This window comes from Homo sapiens, chromosome 16, assembly GCF_000001405.40.
Source record: "Homo sapiens chromosome 16, GRCh38.p14 Primary Assembly".
Classification (NCBI taxonomy): Eukaryota; Metazoa; Chordata; class Mammalia; order Primates; family Hominidae; genus Homo; species Homo sapiens.
This window is the reverse complement of record NC_000016.10, coordinates 56222150-56244244: the sequence shown is the minus strand read 5'-3', so window position 1 is coordinate 56244244 and position 22095 is coordinate 56222150. Positions and strand designations below refer to the sequence as shown.

The 22095-nt window shown below is 46.1% G+C and overlaps 1 protein-coding gene across 4 annotated transcripts in view; it reads right to left on the bottom strand.

Annotated features, from left to right (window-relative positions):
- The window catches only part of GNAO1 (G protein subunit alpha o1), a 165956-nt gene that overhangs the window by 113200 nt on the left and 30661 nt on the right, over nt 1–22095 (bottom strand). Inside the window, exon 2 of one of the 4 annotated variants that reach the window (XM_011523003.4) lies at nt 8861–9232. The exons of the other annotated variants lie outside the window; for them this stretch is intronic. Within the exon in view, the coding sequence (XP_011521305.1) occupies nt 8861–8895 (35 nt within the window). The 5' untranslated portion in view covers nt 8896–9232. The remainder of the gene's footprint in view (nt 1–8860; nt 9233–22095) is intronic. 4 annotated transcript variants of the gene reach the window in all.

Here is a 22095-nt window from a genome sequence, read left to right as displayed (position 1 = left end):
CTTAACTGAAGTCTCAGAGCGAATTAGTAGGTGGTCATCCTGACAGTTTCTCAACCTCTTTCCCATTTACGTGCCTACACTCAAGTAGATTACAGCTCCCCATGGGCAGGAACCCTTTGCTTTGCCTGTAGTATAGCATGGCGAGTGGCCAAGAGTGGGGTCTGGGATCACACTGTGATTCTGCCTCCGCTGTACCAGCTGTGTGACCACAGACAGAACACAAACTCTAAACTCTGTGCCTCATTTTCCTTATGCACTAGAAGGAGATATTAATAGTGCCCTGGGCAACTCTGCCTCAGTTTCCTCAGCTGCAAAATGGTGACATTTGTATAACAGGGCCTACCTCACTGGGTGACCGCAAATGAGTTAATGCACGTAAAATGCTTAAGAACTGTGCCTGGAGCTCAATAAATGTTTTCAACAGCTTCACTGAGATAAAATTCACACATCATATAATTTGCCTATTTAGAGTATACAATTTAGTTTGTTTTGGTACAGTCACAGATATGTACAACCATCACTATAGTCAATTCTGGAACATATATCTGCTAAAAAAAAAATAACCCTGTAGCCTCTAGCTGTCACCCCCTACCCTCCTGGGCTCCCTCCAATTCCTTGGCAACCAGTAATCTACTTTTTTTCTCCATCCATTTCCCTGATGGCCAATAACGTCAAGCATCTTTTCATGTGCTATTGGTCATTTGTATATTGTCTTTGGAGGCGTGTGTATTCAGATCCTTTGCCCATTTTTAAGTTAGGTTGTTTTTTTATTATTGAGTTGTAAGAGTTCTTTATATATTTTGGGCACAAATCCCTGATCAGACATATGAGTTGCAAATATTTTTTCCCACTCTGTGGGTTGTCTTTGTACTTTACTGACAATATCCTCTAAAGCAGCAGTCCCCAACCTTTTTGGAACCAGGGGCCAATTTCATGGGAGACAATTTTCCATGGACTGGGGTTGTGGGGGATGGAGTGGTTTCAGGATGACTCAAGTACATTACATTTATTGTGTACTTTATTTCTATTATTATTACATTGCTATATATAATGAAATAATTATATAACTCACCATAATGTAGAATCAGTGGGAGCCCTGAGCTTGTTTTCCTGCAACTAGATGGTCCCGTCTAGGGGTGATGGGAGACAGTGACAGATCATCAGGCATTAGATTCTTATAAGAAGCATGCAACCTAGATCCCTTGCATGTACAGTTCACAACAGCGTTCCCATTCCTATAAGAATCTAATGCTCCTTCTGATCTAACAGGAGGCAGAGCTGAGGCAGTAATGTGAGCGATAGGGAGCGGCTGTAAATACAGATGAAGCTTTGCTCACTCACCTGCTACTCACTTCCTGCTGTATGGCCTGGTGGGTTCCCACCAGTCTGTGGCCCAGGGGTTGGGGACCACTGCTCTAAAGCATACAATTTTTAAATTTTGATAAAGTCTAATTTATCTATTGTTTTTCTTTTGTTGTTTATGATGTTTTATTTAAGAATGCTTTGCCAAAGTCATGAAGATTTACCCCTATGTTTTAGTTTTTGTTCTTTTGTTTAAGTCTTTGATCCATTTTGAATTAATTTTTGTATATGGTGTGAGATAAGGATCCAAATTTATTCTTTTCCCTGTGGCTATCCAGTTGTCCCAATACCATTTGTTGAAAACACTATTCTTTCCTCACTGAATGATCTTGACATCCTTGTCAAAGATCAGTTGGTCATAGATGTATAAGTTTATTCCTGGACTCTCAATTCTACTCCATTGATCTAGATGCCTATTCTTTTGCTAGTACCATGTTGTACTGATTATCATTGCTTTGTAGCAAGTTTTGAAATTGGGAGGTGTGAGTCCTACCTTATTCTTCTCTTTCAGGATTGTTTTGGCTATTCTGAATCTCTTGAAATTCCATTTGAATTTTAGAATCAGCTTGTCAATTTCTACAAAGAAGGCACCTGGGATTTTGATAGGGATTATGTTCAATCTATAAATGATTTGGGGGTGAATATTCAATAAATATTAACATTTTTTTCATCTTCCTTCTTCTCCTCCCCTTATTACTACCACTACCACTGTTACCTTTCAGCATTATGAGAAGTAAATGACTCAGGTGAAGTGCCAGAATGCAGTGAGAGTCCAATGCATGTTTGCTATTAGCATTTCTGCTATCACTGCTGTGCCCCAGAGACTGTCCTGGGCTGGCAGGAGAGTGGGATGAATGAATGACACAGCACCCCCTAACTAGCAGTGACCACCCTGGGATTTAGCCCTTTTCCAGGTACAGGGCTTCTGAGGCCAGGGCTTTTCATCTTCCCAGTGTAGCTTCCCATTGCAGCTCAGGCCAGTTTCTGCCAGCAAGCAGCACAGCTTCTGCTCATGCCCAGCTCCCACAGGCTCGTAACTGGGACCTCCTTGTGAGTGGTATAAACATACACTCAATCAAAATACCTTCTCAAATGCCTTGTCACGAAGGGACACTGGACTGCAGGATAAGGAAAGCAGCAGGTCTGGTTCAGCATTTCTCAAACTTGAGTCACTCCATTACCCTCATGATTTTTGGCCATAGCCTATACCATTATGCTTCATTTGCTTGGTAGTTTAATTCTATACACTGCAAACAAATATTATTATTATTTGTTATTATTTAAAAAGGAAATTTTACATTGTTGCCTTAAATGGTATCACCTGCTTTAAATAGGAGATAACCATGGAAACAAATACAATGCAAACAAACCTATAACAGACTATTTGTTTCAAAAGATTGGCAAGCTTTAGAGGGATATTAAGCTGTTCTAGTGCCCAATGGACTCTCCTCAACTCGATGGGAAGCACTGGAAGAGAACTAAAAGGGGCTCACTTCCCCTCCTCAGTGACTGAGTGGCATGCTGTGTGCAGTCAGTGCTGCATCGCTAGTGCTGCACATGAGCCTGAGGACAGGGCTTGAGAAGTGATGCTTTACTCCCCAGCACTGCTACTCATTCACACTGGCCTTCCCTGGATAGCAGTGGGACTCACAACACAGGCTCCCAGCATCACTGTGGCCCTCAAAGTGCTCTGAATTGGTTGGGAAAAGTTCCATGGGAGCAGCGTCAGAGCGCTGTAAGGCCTGTGGCAAAGAACTGCATGCTCCGCTTGGGCTGCAGTGGCAGGACTGCTTGGTTCTCGAGGTCCCACTCCAAAAAGCAGGAAGTAAAGCCTGGGCCACCATGTACACAGAGAGTACGGAGCCCTAGAGAGAGCTGGACGGTGCTGATGCCACCTCCTGGAAGGAGCACTCTTCCCTGTGGAGGCATCCTGGCCTTGACTGTCATTCCCTTGGCTTCTACCTGCCTTCTCCTTCTCCATCGGGGTGGGCTTCCTGAGCTGAGGCAAATCAAACCATATCCCACAGAGTCTCATCCTGTTCTAGTTTTATAAGCATCCTTCTCCTCGTGACTGTGCACGAGGATAAACACCCCAGCCTGCTCTATAGCTCATAAGCTTGTCACCCTAAGTGCCCAGCTATGAGGCACCCTGAGCCTGGAGAGGGAGGGGAAATCTAAGACCAACCAATTAAACCCAAATCAGACCATGGAGTTCCTCTTCAGGTCCTGTGTAGGCATTACATGGAGGACTTGGCAAAGGTTGAGAGAAATGGGAAAAATTCGATTCTGATATGAGGCTCAGATAAAAGTTCAAGACAAGAGAAGAAATGCTGTCAAACTGACATGCTCAAATGTATACACATATGGGACCCACCACTCAATAAAAGCATTAAACAGCACCATGGTTCAAAAACCAAGCAGTTCTAGGAAAGTGGTTGAAAACTGCTATCACCCTGGGATGTGAAGTCCCTGGTGTTCACACTGCCTCCCCAGCCAGACACCAGAGGCAAGGCACCAGCACGGGTGCCCAATAACAGTCTACTAAGCTGAATTTGGATGTGAGGAGGCAGAAAAAATCCTTCCATGACCATACAGACAAGCACATTCCAGGGAATGGTGTCTGCATGAGCCTGCCTCTAACCACTCCCGAGCCCTCCACACACTGAGCTGAGACCAATGAGAGGACACTTCCCTGGAGGCTGCTGAGGTGGCTTTCAGACACACCTGAGGAAGAGATCCCATCTCCATTGTAAGATTACACTGGGGCTGGCTGTGTCCCCACCCTAAATCCAGGGTGTGTTATGTGAAGCCTCCTGCTTCTTCATTTTCCAGACCACCTACCCAATCAACTCCTGTGGCCCCAGAAAACAACTGCAAGTTGTTCTTCTGACTCAAAAGCCTGACCTATAAACATCTTTGTGGAGACAGGACTCCCTGTTGAAGGGCTCAAGGATAGTTGCTGAGACCTGCACCCCCTACCCCAAGGCAATGCTATAGCCTCTGCCCAGCAACCAGGCCTAAGAGAAGCCATGTGCTGTCTCTATCTTTAGTGAATAACTGGCAGTCCTATTCATCCAGCTTGGGAAAGACAACCATAGCTGAGGCTCCAGTGATAACAATGACATTTATAAGGATCTAGCGTGTGGATTATGTGAAGTGGTTGCCATATTTGTCAATCTGCTCTGAATACAGAAATTCTTAAATTTTCCTCAGAATAATAAACATTAAATGATTATTTCTACAACTCATCACTGCAATAATTCTTCATTAGAACCTGAAGAATGTGATGCCTCAGCACCTACAGATGTAGGCTCCAAAAGGGTACAGACATTCTTATGGGGTGGTGCCTTGTCAGTCCCTGTGGGCTCAGCGGCTGGGAACAGGGCCTGTCCAGTATGTCCCTAGAACCCTCTCTGTCCTTGGAAGGTTTTTTCCAACTGCAGGAAGTCTAGGCTGAGGAGGCAGACAGTGACCCAAGTGGCCTTTTATTAAAGCACCTAATTATTAAAGGGAGTTTTATTAAAACATAAGTCTTTTTTCTCTTTTGAGACCACCTATTTGGGGCTTGTGAGTAGCATCAATGCAACTTTGCATGGTTTTCATGCTGCCAAAGCTTGTGGGCATTTTACAGAGCTAGGCTCTACCTTGGCAATGAATTGGCTGATGAACTGGGCACTCATAATCACAGCTAAAGCAGGAAGGGTCTCAGGCAGAGTGCCTGTGATGGGCTAGTGCAAAACTTACATCAGTGCTCAAGATGTGAGTCTGTGATGTGACACTGAAGTGTATTTTCTATTGTCTCCATCTCTGATGGTAGGGAGAAGGACACAAAAGGAAAAATCTTCCAGAGATTTACAGAGATGTCTGCAGGGCATAAAGTGATATGCAATCATATATGTAGATATGGGAAAATGTTCAGAGTGTACAGTGAGAGTAAAGAGGGCCAATAAAATTATGTGTTCAGTTTGATACTAGCTTTTGTTTAAAAACACATACACATGCATTGAAAGAAGTCTAGAAACATATATACCCAAACGCAAATTATGATTCGCTCTGAGTAATAGAAATATAGGCTATATTTATTTTCTTCCATTTTAAAGTCTGTATATCCTACATTATCTATGAGAAATAAGCATTAATTGTGTAACAAAATTATTACTTTAAAAAATGCGTGTGTGGGAAGCACATGCTATGCCAATGGGCCTGAGTCTACTGCTGTCTGCTGTGTACCCTGCAGCGTGGAAAGAGATCAGGAGTGCAGGCAGACTTGAGGGGGAACAATTGCTCCCCTGAGCCTGTTTTCCAAAAGAAGTATCTTTCCAACAAATGTTCTTGCAGCAGTGGGATGGCCACCACTATGTTGACATTATTAACATGAAAAAAGAAAGTCAACAAGGTGGGGAGGAAGACTCTGTGACTGTGGTGCTGTGGTCATGTGCTTGTCCCCCACTCTCCAATCTGGTCTCAGCCCCAAGGTGTTAGAACCCGCTGTGCCTCTGGCCACGTGCACAGGCAAGACTGGACTGCAATCAAGGATAGCTGTGTGTCTCCAGCCTTTAGGAAAGGATGCAGTTTTCTGGATTAAGAGAGAAGAGGAGTAGCCAACCTTGCTCCAATGCCAGGCCTTGTTGGTACCTCAGAGGCTGTCAGACTGGGGGAAGCCTGATCCTCTTGGTCCCACGTTTTGAAAACCTCCTCTTGTGGCTAGATATCAGGAGGATGCAGCAGGCCTGCTGAAAAAAAGTCGTCCCACAAATGTGTGTGGGGCGGGCGGGGGGGGATCTGTGATGGGACCCATGATGGAGACCCTCTGTCACGAGCCTCAGCCCAAGCACCTCCTTTCACTCTCGCTTTCTCAGAATATTGTAAAATGTATGAAATAATGCTGCTGGCCCAAAGTTTTGAGAAAGATGGAGAACGAAGTTTATATCATAGCTGGTTACGGATCCCACAGATGAGACTATACAAGTGGTACCCCAGGAACCTAGACACTAACTTGGGTCTTTTATCCGTTGCCAGCTGGCCTTGCAACGTGCAGCTGCTAAACAAACAAAAAAGAATTCACATTTTCATTTAGACGACTTTGTGCTTCATAATGTGTCCATTTTTTTTTTCTGGAGCCAGAGTGTTTGTTATTTCTTTGCAATTTCAGAAGTTATGAAATGATTCATGGTTTTGTTGGAGCTGAAGTCAACCAAAACCATTCATAATTGTGAACAATCTCTGTTATTGTTAGAGGGAAAACGCCAAGGCATCTGTGCTTCCCAAAAACACATGGGGGGAGAATTCCAGTTTGGAAATGGACCGGCTGTGTTTTTCCCCTAGAGTTAAATTTATCAGAATGATTTCCAGGGAGATGGCTGTGTTCTTCTGGTTGCAGCAGTGGGGTGGCCACCAGAACGCATGGTTTCTCCTCTCTCCTTCCTCTCCTTTCTCTTTCAGATACAGGCATCCTGTGGCATTGCTCTGCACAGCCGTAGTTACTCATTAAATGTCTGTCTCCCCTACAAGAGGAGGGGTTCATGAAGGTAAGATCACATCTATCTTACTCAGCTCCAATATTCAGCTCCATGTCAGGTACATAGATGATGCTTAACAAATATCTGTTTAACGAATGACTGCATAAACCCCACCAGCTAATGTCATTACTCTTTAGTCTTTTGATTCTTCATATTCTTGATACCATATTAATTTGCACTGGTTGATAGCATGTACAATTATAAGAGAGACTTACCTGAAAACAAAAGAATAAAATACTGATAGTAAATATTTTTGAGTACTCATTTTGTGCTAAGCAATGTGCTAAGTACTTCATGTACAGCATTCCACTTAATCCTCACAAAAATTTTATGACCTAAGTTCTATTATAATTCTACTCTTACAGATGAGGCTACTGAGGCACAGATAAATTAAGTAAACTTATCCAGGATCACCCAGCAATAAGTGATGAAGCTAGACACAGATATCCAAATGCACAATCCTACACGTTCCTGGGACACGGCCCTTGGCTAAAGCACTTCTAACTGCCATTTTCAGAATGTATTCAGAATCTGAAAACTTTAAATGGTGATGAGACTTTGTTTTCTCTTGGTGAGTCTGCCTTTGTGTTCAAAAGTCCCTCAAAGCCATAGGTATTTGGCGATTACAGAGGATCACTGCGTTTGGAAACAAAGCGCTGGTGTAACTATAATGCCACGAGACCAATTTGCTCTGGTGAGCCATGGACTAGCTTGGAAAGGTCACTCTAGGAAAGAAGTAACATAGTAGAGTGAAAAGGGCACTGGACTGGGAGTCAGGTTTTTTTGCAGGGTGACCTAAGACTGGTACTTCGTCTCTCTGATGTTGGCCAATATGAACTTGACTGGGTTGGCCTGGAACACTGAGGTCCAGACCTATCTGGAAGTCATACCTGGAAATGTCTAAAGCTCCTAAGAAAGCCACCTCCACTTTCCCTTTCTCTCTTCTAATCTACCTCCCAGGGTCAATTCTATGGATTCAAACTGAATGATCTCTTTCTCTGTCTCTCTCTCCTTCTGTATGTGTGTGCGTGCCTGTGTTTTGTGAAGGGACTAGAAAAGATACAGTTAACCCAGGCTCTCTTTTCTCCAACACATCTACTATGAAACTCATATCTAAGGTTCAATTCTGCAATTTAAACTTCAGCCAGAATTGCCCACACCACTCACTTCTTCTCCCCACAGCAGACTAATGTGGACTTGTCAGCAAAGGTCAACCAGTTCATCATCTTTAGGAAAGATCTCAGAAGCAATAATGGGAGAACATGCCTCTTTACCTGAGAAGTGAAACCAAGAATGACTGCCTGAACTTGAGTGGAGACCTGGTACCCAGCTTCTCCAAGTCAAAATAGGCTATGACTCAAAGAATCACCATCTCAGTGAAAACGGGAGAGCCTTGATCCCCCTTTGTGAAAATTTCAAATGATAAAGGTCCAAGTCGTGTACATAAAATGCCCATCTACCAACTTCCACCACTCCATTTCCCTTCCTACTTCACACAGAGCCAAGAAATCCATGCATGTCAAATAAATAAGATAAATATCTTATCTCCTGCCAGAATCATGCATATTCATCTTAATCCAAAGGGCAAGTGGCTACCTACAAGGCTGGGCCACTCTCTTAGCTCCCAGGCAGGGCTGGGTGATCCCAGCAGAGTAAGGACACAGAGGCTGTTGGCTGCACAGCAGGACAGTCCTGACAGATTATCCAGGGAGGCCTGGGAGGATAGGACACACTCCGCATTTCCACCCAAGTCCCATGTTAAATGAAAGCCTCCCTCTCAGCAGGCATTCCCCTAGGAGCACTGCCTTTAGGAACAATTGTCAGACTGGTTGTGCTCTCAGGGGATGTCGAGGAGAACTGACCAGGCAGGTGCCAGGAGCCAAAGGGAAATGGTAGACAGGCACAGGCTGCAGCAGCAGAGCCCCTTGCCTGGACTGCGTAGTGTCCCGCCGGCCTTCAGTTCTGCTAGCTCTACCTACCTCCTTGTAGTCCCTGCAGGATTCAACTTCTTCATCTGTTGATGGGCTGGGCTACATGCTCTGTCTAAGCTTCTGTCTTCTTTAAGATTCTAAATCTCTATCAAGTTTCTAGGTGATCTGAGTGGATTGAGCCACCTGCAATCAGAGGGAAGTCCTGCAATCTCTTTGAGGGAGTCAAATGCTAGAAGACATAACTTGTCTCAATCACCAGCCTTCAAGGGAGCATGAGCTTTATATGCCATGCTGCTTCCTCCTCTTCGAACTGCACCCTGAGAGTTGTGAGTTGTGGCTAAGCATCTTTGTCTGGTCAGCGAATAGGTGTCTTTTGCAGAACTCAAGTGCCGCAGCACCTTATTTAAACTCCCCGAGGGGCTGTGGGGTAAGAAAGACATAAACAGCATTTTCACAGGCAGCTGGTGGCTGAACATTAACTAGCCACTGGGGCAAGCAAATAGCCAGTGTAGCTCCCGATGGCCACACACTGCCCACCCCCAAAGTGAAACAGATTCTCTGGCTCAAGCAGATGACCAGGGGGACAGAGGTAGACTGTTTTCCTCAATTTTTAAGGCTAGAATGTTTTCTCTTGGAGGATCTTTGAGTTGGAAAGGGCCCCCTGCATGCCCAATGTGGTCACTGGAATAGGAGTTGGGGGGGAACCAGAGGGGAAGGGGCTGGTCCCATTCTGAACCACACTCCCTCAAAAACTCCTGTACCCTCGGAGAAGACTCCCTGGATTTGAGAAGCAAACCACCCAGGGACAGGGGAAAATGGAAGCTGCAGAACTGGGAAGCTGGGTCAGCTGTGAAACAGTTCATGGGTTCATGCAGACTTTCAGTGAGCTCTCCTTAAACTGGCTATTAGAGCCTCATGGGCAAGGCTGAGGAACTGCAGGCCTGGCTGAATCACAGCTAAACCCTCTTTCCAGCTGCACTTCCCTAAAGACAGTATTCAGCTGCAGGCCCCGAGCATGTCTGTCAATCCCCTCTTTGGAGATCAGTCTGAACTGCCCCACCCCACCAACCATGAGTACCCTCAGCCTAAGGGCATTCTGGCCAGAGGGCCAAGGCCATGAGGCTGGCTGGCTGCACAAGTGTTTGCTTAGGCCTTTGGCATTCCCTAGGCTGGTGGCTACTGGGTTTTCCCACCAGAGAGGTTGAGACAGGTAGACTCTCCTTGGGGTGTCACCTCCTGCCTACAGCCAGACCAGGAGGGTTGGGCACCTAGGGCCACTCACAGTCCTTAAAAATAGCTAATGCTGGCTTCTTTAGGAATATAAACAAAGTGGGTGTGGGTGTTTGGGTGAATACACTGCCAAGGAAAGAAGTGAATCAACCTCCCAGCTTAGGAGCCTCAGGCAGAGATGAGGTTACTGAAGGTAGAGAGGCTGGGGGCAAATCAATACCATGCTTCCCAGCAGAGCCGGGTCAGCACAGCATCTGGGCTGTTTATTTTGGTCCAGTGCCTTGGTTATATTCCCTCAAGAGAAGGTAAAATCAACATCAGCAGGCCAAGGGTTAACATGTCATTATGTGGTGCCAACCCACAGACAAGGGGGCATGGAGCCTTTGGGGAACAAGAGTGTCAAGGTGGCCAAGGGGCCCTCAGCCTGCCTCAGACAGCTAGAAGCACTCCCCCTTCAAAAGCAGCTCCATGGGCAGCATCTTCGCTGGGAGGCTCCAAGGGTAAATGGTGGCAACTCTCTGGCTGGGCAGACACAGACCTGCCTGTAGTAACCAGGAATAGAAATCCACAAGCTTGGATTCTTGAGGCCTGAAACATTCAGATGACACTGCCACCTTCCAGGAAATCACCTCACGCTCTGCTTCTGAGTTCCACACCATGACTTGCATCCTTATGGGTGCTGGCTTCTCATTCATACACAGAGAGGACACGGCAGAGGAAGCAAAAGCCTTGGCCTACAGCAAGCAGCTCACTTTTAATCTGGTGCCTTCTCTGCTAGAATCTGACTCTCAGAAACGTGTATTGCTCTCCATACATAGAAGACCTTCCATTCATTTTTTCATTCACTTATTCATCCAACCAAACTTTACTAAGCACCTACTATGTGCTAATCCCTGTTCTAGACACTGGGGCATGTAAATAGTGAACAAAACAAAGTCACTGCCTACACAGAGCTCTCATTCTATGATAATAGCAGTAACAGGTAAGTATCGGCTTTGTATCGGACCCCATTCTAAATGTTAAACACAGATCTCATATAATCCTCAAAACAACTTTAGCCAGGTACTATGAGCACTCCATTTTACAGATGAGAAAACAGACACAGCTAGATTAAGTAATGATGCCTGGTGATGGCAGGATTCAAATCCATTCAGTGCAATGATACTCCACCTCCCAAGCTACAGGAGTGTCATAGATGCATTTTCCTTATGGTGAAGTCCTTCCGGCCTGTCTTGAAAGCCATTTGAGTAAGGGGCATGTTTTATTGTACTCACAAAATGGAAATGGCCTATAGGCTCTTAGAGCAATAAAAATAGAATCACAAGGATATAAAGAAGAAGAGATGTCTTCGTGAAGCTGTCTTTTGTCTTTCTGGTTATAAGAAGTAAAAAGTTAGTTGGAGGGCGCTTCACCCCAACCCCTTTTGAGGAGGCCTATTATATGTCATGTTTTTTTTCCAACGTATTTTATACTGAAATAACAAAAAGCCATAACTGTATAAAATGAAAAGTAAGTGCTGAGTACTCCCTTGTGTGAGTGGTCTGTTGGGTCTGTGGTTGGAGGAAGACCAGCTCTGTGAGAGGCCAATAGTTTTTCATGCAAAAAGAGTTCTGAGGTCAAACAAGTGTGGGAAACTGAATTACACAAAAAGAGCTGTTGGATTTTTGTTAATTATAGAACTTCTCAGAGGCTTTAATATGCTAAAGTCCATTGTGTCTCTCCAAGAGTTTTTGTAGCAGGCAGCATTTTCTACACTTGCTTGACCTTACAACTCTTCTGAGGGGAGGTATAGAACACAAGTTTAAAGCTCACAGAACCGAATTCCAAAGGATATGAACCTGGGAAATGCCTGACTCATTAGAGCCACTCTCTCTAGACAGAAACACTATTCGTCTTACTGGGCGCATTTCTGAAGATCCATGAACTTCTCAGAGCTACGAGGCTCAAGAGGGTCAATTATGTTACAGCAAGCATTAGGAAGCCCTTGCTAAGCTTTTGTGGAATTTTTTTTATTTTTGTAGGAGAGGCTGCAGGAGGGAGGATGCATCAAAAGATGAGCAATAGTAAAGGAAACATTTTTTTTTTTAAAGCAGACATCCGTCAACGCCTTGCTGTGTTTCCTTAGGTAGGTCCTTTACCCTCTCTAGGCATCAGTCCCACTTGCCCATCTGCAATAAATGGGAATGGATCAGATGGTCTGGGCCCCCCTCCTCCAGCCCCCACATTCTCTTTCTCTCTCTGATCTGCCAACCAGATGGGAAAAGCACTGACAGGTGGCCACAGGGACGACATCGTCACAGAGGTGCACCTTCTCCTGGGACCAGGCTCCATCTTGCCAAGGGCCCTATCCTGCCAGGTGGAGAGAATACTGAGCCTCAGAGGAGTAGAGGGCCCTTGGGAAATACAGGTTGGACTGCCAGGGAATCAAAAACCCCTGACTTCAGGTGCCAGTGCCTAGTACCAAGCCTGGTGATTTTTCAAGGAATCACAGATGAGCCCCTTGAAGCAGCTCTTTTCAAACACAGTCTGCATTCAGATTTATTTAAGTGGTTCAGAAAAGGGTGCTCATTCTCTTCCTTGACCACGTCCCTCCCACTTTCCCAGTTCTTTTAGTCCCTCCCAGTTGTTCCCCAAGTTCCACTCTCTCTCTAATCCCCGCTCACAGAGAACATGCCAGGTACTCTTCTAGGTGCTAGGGACAAAACAGACTCGGACCTGGCTCTCAGGGAACATATATTCTAGAAAAGGAAAAGAAAAAATGAACACACAAATACAGGAAAGGTGGTAATAAATGAAGAATTAAGCAGAGCGTGGAGACGGCAAGTGATGAGGACTGCTATTTAAGACAGGGTGTCATGGAAGGCCTCTTGGAAGAGGTGACATATGGGCAGAGACCTGAATGGAGTTCTTTTCTTGGGTAAGGGTGAGTCTGCTCTGAGCCTACCCCACGGTGGATTTCAGAGGGCTGGGAGGTGAGTTGCCAGTCAAGGTCTGGGCCTGGCCATGGAGTAGGCTGGGCTGAGTCTGAGCATGGACCAACAGAGTCTTTCACATAAAGCATAAGCCACACTGCCCAGGTAATGGTGTCATCCTGTTTTGGGACTTGTACATCCTCATTCTCCTCATCTCTTCCTGTCTTTGGGTCCTGGCTATATGACATACCCACAGGGTGGGGATTAACCAGATAAGAAATGCTGAACAAAGCCTCAGCTGTCTCCTGACAGGGACAGACACCCAGGGCACCAACTCCACAGACCCGGGCTGAGAGGTTGCAGACTGACAGAGCACAACGGGGCACACCCTCCCTTTCTGTCTCTGGGCCTCAGTTCCCCATCTGAGAAATGCAAGGGCTGGATGGTCTCTATGAGCCTTTTCAGTTTTAAACCACACATGACTCTGGACATGCCTGAACTCAGTTTCCAGGAAGAGGAAAGCAAAGACACAAAGAATGAAGAAACCTTATCGCGAGTCAATGGAAATCCTGGAGTCTGGACCCCTATATTAGAGAAGATGCTCAGAAACCCAGTCACTGAAACATGAACCAGAAAAGGGGCCCTTAGCTATGTGACATCAAAGTCTTGTGGGCTGAGTCTCAGTGGTCCGTTTCACATACCACACCAGAACACAGGTTTATATACAACAAACCATAAAGGCTATTCCAATAGCTTCAGGGATATTTCATACTCTCTGTCTCTCCCCACCCACGCTCTGATTATGGATGAAGGGCAGAGCTATAAAATCTGCTGGAGAGGTAAACCCCTTATCAGGGGACCAGGCGAGGCACTGTTTGCTGAAGGCCCATTCACCCAGATGAAGCCCTCATCCAGGCCTGAAACAACAGATGGCTGGGGCTTGGAGGTGAATGTCCCGCTTCCTCTGGACAAGCTGTGTTTGCACAGGGGGCGAATGGCACAAGATCCCACTGAGGGGCATGGAAGAGACCAGGCCCCACAGCAGCCTCCACTGTGGTCACTGCACACCAGGCTGGGCAGCTCGTAGGTGCACAGAATTCATGCCAGAAGCATGCCACTCCCGCAGTACATGCAGAGCAGCAGCTTTCATTGACATTTTTTTTTTTTAAAGTTATGGAACATAAGTGACCAAATGATCAAAAGCATCATTTTTCCTGTAAAACAAACAGGAGGAGTTTGTTTCACCATATGAAGGATAATACAGAAATTCACATGGATTTTTAAAATAAAAAGCCAGATGTTAAAAAAACACAACTCTGGCTTGAGGTGGACTGCTACAGGCGATGCCCTTCGACTCTCCTGGGCACACACTCACCATCTTCTTCCACAAAAGCTACTTGGTGGAAAAGCTCGAGAAGTTCTAAGAGTGTAACAAGCTAGGATTTCGTTCATTCCACAGACACTCACTGGGTACCTGCATTCTGTTTAGTCATGGTTTTAGGTACTTTGGAATTAGATACACTTGAGTTTCTGGGCCTCAAGGTTTTGCATTTTTGTTTTGTTTTTTAATCTGTGAAATGGAGACAATGAAACTTAATCTCAATGGGTTATTGTGAAGATTAAATTCTATCTATTTATTCATCCATCCATCCATCCATCCATCCATCCATCCATCCATCCACCCACCCATCCATGAACAGTGCCTGGTTGTCAGCAGAGATCCAATTATTTATAGCTCCTGGTCCCCAGTACTTGTTTTCACATGGGTAAAAACAACAATGGGGGCAGGGCACAGTGGCTCACGCCTGTAATCCCAGCACTTTGGGAGGCCAAGGAGGGTGGATCACTTGAAGTCAGGAGTTTGAGACCAGCCTGGCCAACATGGTGAAACCCTGTCTCTACTAAAAATACAAAAAAAATTAGTCAGGCGAGGTGGTGTGTGCCTATAATCACAGCTACTCAGGAGGCTGAGGCACGAGAATTACTTGAACCTGGGAGGTGGAAGTCGCAGTGAGCTGAGATTATGCCACTGCACTCCAGCCTGGGTGACAGAGTAAGTGAGACTCCATCTCAAAACAAACAAACAAAAAAACAAAAACAGCAATGGTGTCGGCTATACAAAGCAGATATTCCTCAAAATGATTCTACCTCTAGCCTCCAAATCCTCCTTTCAAGCATTAAAGTCTTTTTCATTTCTCCTCCATTACAAAAGTTTACTAAGTAGCATTGGGTTATATAAAACAAAAGTTAATTCATTCAATCAACAAATATATACTGAGCTCCTACTATGTACCACACACACAGCAGAGAACAAAAGATAATCCTTGCTCTCATGGAGCATACACGAGTAAAGATAACTAACAAACATGTATAACAACAAACCTATGAATAAACTTTTATCTATATATACACGTCAGTAGCACTACGCACTTTTAAGATATATGAAGCAGGGTAAGTGAAGGGGCGGTAACAGTGGGATGCTAATTTACATAGGGTGGTCTTAAAGTGACATTCATGCAGACCTGACAGAAGTGGGGCAGTGTGGCCAGGAGATGTGCCCACAGCATGCTGCAAGTGAGTTAGCAGAACTGGGGCTTGGAGCCAAGTTTTCTGAACATGAAGCTCTTCCCATTGCCCTGGTGGGAAGCAGAGATGCAATTACTTACAGCTCCTGGTCCCGGCTCAGGGCCGGCAAGCTCAAGGTGTGAGTCAGGATCCATAGGGGCACAGAAGAAAACATCACATTTCTAGTTATGATAACTTCCAGTTAACTTTTCTATTTTCTATTTTTCTTTATGTATTTTAATATACATAATCTAAATAAATAAATAAATATATATGTATATATATATACACACACACTCACATATATACACACACACACTCACATATATACACACACACACTCACGTATATACACATACATATGCATATACACAGGGTTACCAGCTCAAACATCTTTTACTAAAGAGGTACATACATGGAAATGCCAGGAGAACCCTGCCACTCTCTGGGTATGTCTCGGCCTATTCCAGTCTGGCCTGGTGGTGGCCCTGGCTAAGCCTGGGGAAGCCTTCTTCTGGTTGCACTTGGAACACATAACTGTGCAGACGGAGGCAGATGGATGCAGGCTGGCCTCCCTTTTCGGCTCTGCAAAGTGCCACCAGCCCTGGCATCATGCTCAGGGCTATCTGGTCATGCCAACCGTGGGGTGAGAGCTTCCTGTCAATCCTGCTATGCCTCTTCAGGTAACCAAGCCCAGCACTGCCCAGGCAGGGAATGGAGGCTTCTCGGTCCAAGGGAGCCAGGCAGACACAGCCATTTACGCAGTTGTGTGCTCCTCTCAGACTACCTGATGGCAGCTTCCACTCAGCTCCAGCCACGCCTAGTGACACTGAAGAACACCATTAAATTGAACATATCACCAGCAAGAAGGCCAAAAGGCAGAAAAACCATGCCTCCGAGCCTCATTATGTTAGCAAAATAACAACAATAATACCAGGGAAAATAATACCAATAAAGCCAGGGAAAGAGGTGGGATTGCTTTAGTATGTATAGAATCAGAAAGACCATAATTCTTTTTTTTTTTTTTTTTTTTTTTTTGAGACAGGGTCTTCCTCTGTCACTCAGGCTAGAGCATAATGGCACTGTCATGGCTCACTATAGCCTTGACCTCCTGGGCTTAAGTGATCGTCTTGCCTTGGCATCCCAAAGTGCTGGGATTACAGGCATGAGCCACTGTGCCTGGCCAAAGACCACAGCTCTTACCGTTGAAGCACAGTGATGTCTTAGGTAGCTGGCAGTGGTCAGGAAGGGAGCAGCAGAGAGTGCAAATCAAACACACCCCAGGCCCCAGTGACTGGCTCAGGCCTGGAGACAGGGTGGGAACCAGGTGCTCACTCCCTGAGGTGCAAGGATGAAGCCAAGAGCCTGCCTGCAGAGGCCACTACACCTGGGCTCCTCTAGAGCACGGGACACTGGATGCCTCCTGAGCCAAGCAAGTGTCACGTGTGTCAAATGGGCAGGTGGTGAGACAGCAGGGAATGGAGGAGGCCAGGAGCAGTGGCGGGGGCGCGCAGACTTGCCTAAAACAATTACATTTCTCTCTTTCTTCTTCTTCTTGTTTTCTTTAAAAAACAAAAACAAAAACAAAAAAACTGCATGGGCCAATAAAACAAAATGAAACAAACAGTTTCCCCTCCCCACCTTCCTCTTTTTCCCTACCCGCCACACCCCTTAAAAAACAAAACCACACAACACATCAAAGGGCAGAGTCTGGTCTCTGAGCAACCATTCTGTGATTACTTCTCCGGTATAAAGGCTGTTCAAAACTTCCTAAAGATCCCCTTTTAAATCCCAAAAATGTAGCATCAAGCTAAGAGTGGGATGCTTTCTGGAGGGCAGTGTGGGCAATGATTCGGCCCTTGGGGCAGGGTCAGACCCAAGTTCAAATCCAGCTCTGTCATTTACTGATTGTACAACCTTGGTTAAGTTTCTTGGTCCCTTGCATCCTCGGTTTATTGTTCTGTGAATGGAGAAGAAACCACCAAACTCATAGTTATTGAAAGGACTGACACTTAAATGACATAAAGGATGCAAGTGCCCAAAACTTATAAAATAGATATCTAATGTGCATTTAAAAATTAACATGGCCAGAGCAAAACCATTTTTTCCTGCCACTGCCCCAGGATCTTTCTTTCCACCTCTAGTCTTTCCTACCTCAGTAGACGGCATCCCCATCTACCCAGGTGCTCAGAGCAAAGCCATGGAATGCTCTTCAGTCCTTCTTGCTTCTATCTTCCATGGCCTGACCCAGTGGTGTGCTGGAGTGAGTTGTGCTGGCTCACAAGAGCTAACGTTGCATCACTCACTGGCCAGATGGGTAGCTTGAAACCAGCTGTGGTGGGAATATTACACCACAGAAACTGGCAAGCTCTACCAACAAGGGCCTCCCTCCCACCCTTGGCTGGTTTACCAGCACACCACTATCCTAATCATAAGTAGGCCCTATTGACTCTAACTCTAAAATACTGCCTGATTCTAATAATTTCTCACTGTCTACTGCCACAAACTTGGTCCCAGTTACCACCATCTTTCACCCAACTGAAAGGCTATGATGCCCCCTCCTTGGTCTCCCTGCTCCCTCTCTTGCCCCTCCACAGCCCGTCCTCCACACAGCAGCCACAGCAAACTCAAAGTAGAAGTCAGATCATCTCTCTCCTAATTAACTCCTTCCAATGGCTTCCCTGCACACTCAGGCTCACCACTGGCTCTGTCTTTGTACTGTCTTTGTACTCCTGTTCCTTCTGCTTGGAAAGCTTTTTCCCCACACCTTTCCATGGCTGCCCCATTCTCATCATTTGCATCCTGGCTGAGATTTCATTCCTTCAGGAAGCTCTCCCTGCCTACTTTAGCTAAAGGAGCTCCTCAACTATCCTCTATCACATTCTTCATGGCACTCAGTGCTGGCAACGATCTCATTTAGTTAACTTTGTGTGTTTCTCCGTCTTCATGAAACTAGAATGGCAGCTCCCTGAATGAGGTATGTCCCCAGTGACTAGAACAGAGCACACAGAAGACACTCAATAAATGCTTACTGTCTTACTAATGGATGGGGCTATCATTTTTATACCCCTGTTTTATTGATTCCCTATCCACCAGAATGAACTCCACCCTCCCATTAGAAGGCAGAGAAGATGGCTCCAGCCCCATCAGATCTCAACAGAGTGCACACACACAGATGTTGACTTGGCAACTGAACTAAGCTCATATTTAACTAGCTAGAGCCCAAACAATTTCTGCTAGTTCCCTCTGGGTGATCAGGGAGAGTCACCACCTCCCAACCTCCATTTTCTCTTCTGTAAAACTGGGCAAGTCATACCTGCAGTAAACCATGGCAAGCAATGCACAAAAGTGCCAAGCCTGGAGCTGGTATGTAGTAGGAACACGTATTAGCTCCCCTTTCCAGGCACCACCCATATATTCCATTCCTCTACTCAGTTACCTGGTAACCCTGACATCATGACACTTGGCATTTCTTGCCTAGGAAAACCAATCCAGATTTTGCTCAATCCTCCTCAAACAAACAGACAACGAAGCCCTGATTCCAATGAGACAGCATAAATGCCACATCCTGCTCTACAGAGATATAATGGCTTTTCCTGTGGCTGCCTTGTGTCAGGGGCAGCCTAGCACAGCAAAGTTACTGGTTAGCACCCTGTCCTACCTTAGCTGGCTCCCATGGAGATGGGGGACACTATCAGCTGTCCAGAAAGATTTCACTGGCTGCCAAGTTGTGTTCAGCCTCAGTGGAGCCAGAAGCCCTTGGAATGACAGCACAGCTCTGTCCCTGAGGCTGATGTGAAAGTTTTTGAACCATCCTCTAAAGGGCACCTGAAACGAGGATTGTTTGAGACCTTATAAGTGTCCAGATGGGCTACAGATGAAATTAGTCCCAAGGAGCCAAATGCCCTAAATACCACAAAGCCGTAAGTGTAAATGGGCAGACTAAAACCCAAGTCCTGGGCCGGGCACGGTGGCTCGTGCCTGTAATCCCAACACTTTGGTGGATCACTTGAGGTCAGGAGTTCGAGACTAGCCTGGCTAACATGGTGAAACCCCATCTCTACTAAAAATACAAAAAATTAGCCAGACGTGGTGATGCACGCTGTAGTCACAGCTACTTGGGAGGCTGACAGAGGCACAAGAATTGCTTGAACCTGGGAGGCAAAGCTGCAGTGAGCTGAGATCACAACATTGCACTCCAGCCTGGGTGACAGAGTGAGACTCTGCCTCAAAATAAATAAATAAAAATAAAACCCCAGTCCCCCATCTATGCCATGCAGCCTTAGGTCAGAGCAGAAGGTATTAACATGGGCATGAGTGGGCCATGGGCATCTATCTGGCTGCTATCCTACCGGGTAGCAGCCTAAGGAGGTCTAGAGAAGCCTGAGAACAAGCTTCAGATAGGCTTCTCCAAAGGCCACTGCAGGAAGAAAGGCAGGACTCTCACCTCTCACTCTTCTACTGAGCTCCTCTGCCTGACGCTGTACCAGGGGCCAGGCCAGAATCAATACTTCTATCCCACTGGACCAGCTTCTGGCTTGGCTTAGACCACAGGATCTAGAGACCTCCAGGGAAATGAATACGGCCTGGTCCAGAGGAAGACGTACTGGCCAGACAGGCACTGGCCACATCCTGGGGCTCTGCACTGCCCATCTTCTGAGGCAGGCCCCGCTTCCCCACTGAGCCTCAGATTCCCAGGTATAAGATGAAAGGCTTGAACTTGACCTCTTCTGAGAGTCCCTTCATCTCTGACCTTCTCTAACAGCACTCAGACAAGTCATTTACTCTTTCTGGTTCCCCTCATTCATTCAACATCCATTTACTGAACATCTTTTGTGGGCCAGCCCTGTGGGGGATGAAAGAGATGAATACAGTGCAGTTTGTCCTTTCTCGCAAGGAGTTTAAATCTTGTTCTTCAGGTGAGTTACTCAAAGTCTTAAATCTCAGTGTCCTCAACCGTAAAACAGGTTTGATAACAACCCTCACAGCTAACACCAACTAAGTATTTACCAACATTCCAGGTGCTATGAGGGGTTCCACATCCCATCCTCATAACCCAAAGGTGGGTACCATCATCTTTCCCACTTAAACCAAGAAGTCAAGCAAATTTCCCTAGGTCACTGTGATGAGCAGAATAATGCCCCCTCTCCCAACAAAGAGGTCCACATCCTAATCCCTGGAACTTTACAGGGCCAAAGGGACTTTGCAGATGCCATTAAGGTTATGAGATGTGGAGATTATCCTGGATTATCCGGGTAGGTCCAATCTAATCACATGAGTCCTTAAAAGCAGAGAACCTTTCCTGGCTGGATCAGAGAAAGAGAGAGAGATATAACAATGGAGGAAGAGTCAGATGTGCCTGAGAAAAACTCAACTTGCCACTGCTGGCTTTTAAGATAGAGGAAAGCAGGGGCCTCTGCCAAGATATGTGGCAGCCACCTCTAGAACCTGGGAACAGCCCTCGGTTTCCAGCCAGGATGAAAAGGGGGCTCTTATAACGGCAGGCATTGAATTCTGCCAAAATCTCCAAGAGCAAGGAATGGATTCTCCCCCCTAGAAGCCCCAGAAGGGAACACAGCCTGCTGACACCTTGATTTTAGGCTGGTGAACTTGAATGGGGCTTCTGACCAATAGAACTGTAAAACAATACATCTTATTGTTTTAAACCACAAAATCTGTGGCCAATTGAAACAGCCACAATAAGAAACCCAGTTATACACCCAGAAGGTGCTGGAGCTGGGTGCTGGGGCTCTAGCACCAGGGTCTCTGTATATAACACAGATACTCAACCACGCTGCAAAGCTCATCTCGCAGGGTGCACAGGTGATATCAGGCACCATGCCTGGGACATGGCACTCAAAACATGCTAGCTATCATTATCACCTCATCGCCAGTCTTCACCATCTAGCAGCAAAGCCGTGTCACATTGCTCTCCCACGTGTCAAGGGAAAGGACTGGATGAAATGCTCTCCGAGGATCTGTCGCCCCTGGGTTTTTCCTCGGCTCACTCCATTTCTGCATTTCCTTTCTCACACACACCTACGATGGAGGCTCAAGTTACCAGGCTCCAGGGCGAGCCTCAAGCCTGGAGTAGGGCTGTCAGAATTTCCTCCAACTAGTGAGCATGCTTGAGGGGTTACAATCTCATAGAAGGACAAGCTTGTATGCTTTTGTTCTGAAGAGGCCACTGATACAAGCAATCACAAGACTCCAAGGTCTGGGGAGTGGGGAGGCATTCTAATCTAGGTTATCACATCATGTTGGTTGTAGAGGGGCAAACCCAGGGACCATCCAGTTATTATAAGGACACCTTTAGATGGACAGCCCACTACCTCCTAGTGTTCTACAATTTGTGGGGAGCAGGGTGGTTCTCTACCCATCTCATGGGTCTGTTGCAGAAATAATGAAAAAGGACTGCAAAGCACTTTGCAAATCAAGGAGGCTGCCTCACTTGCCCTCCAGAGCTGTGAACACGCTGCTGCTCCCTCCCTCCCTCCCACTGACATGCTCTGTTCTTAATAAGGCTCCCATAAAGATCTCTCCTGCGAGATAATCATAGACTCTCAGGGGCATGCC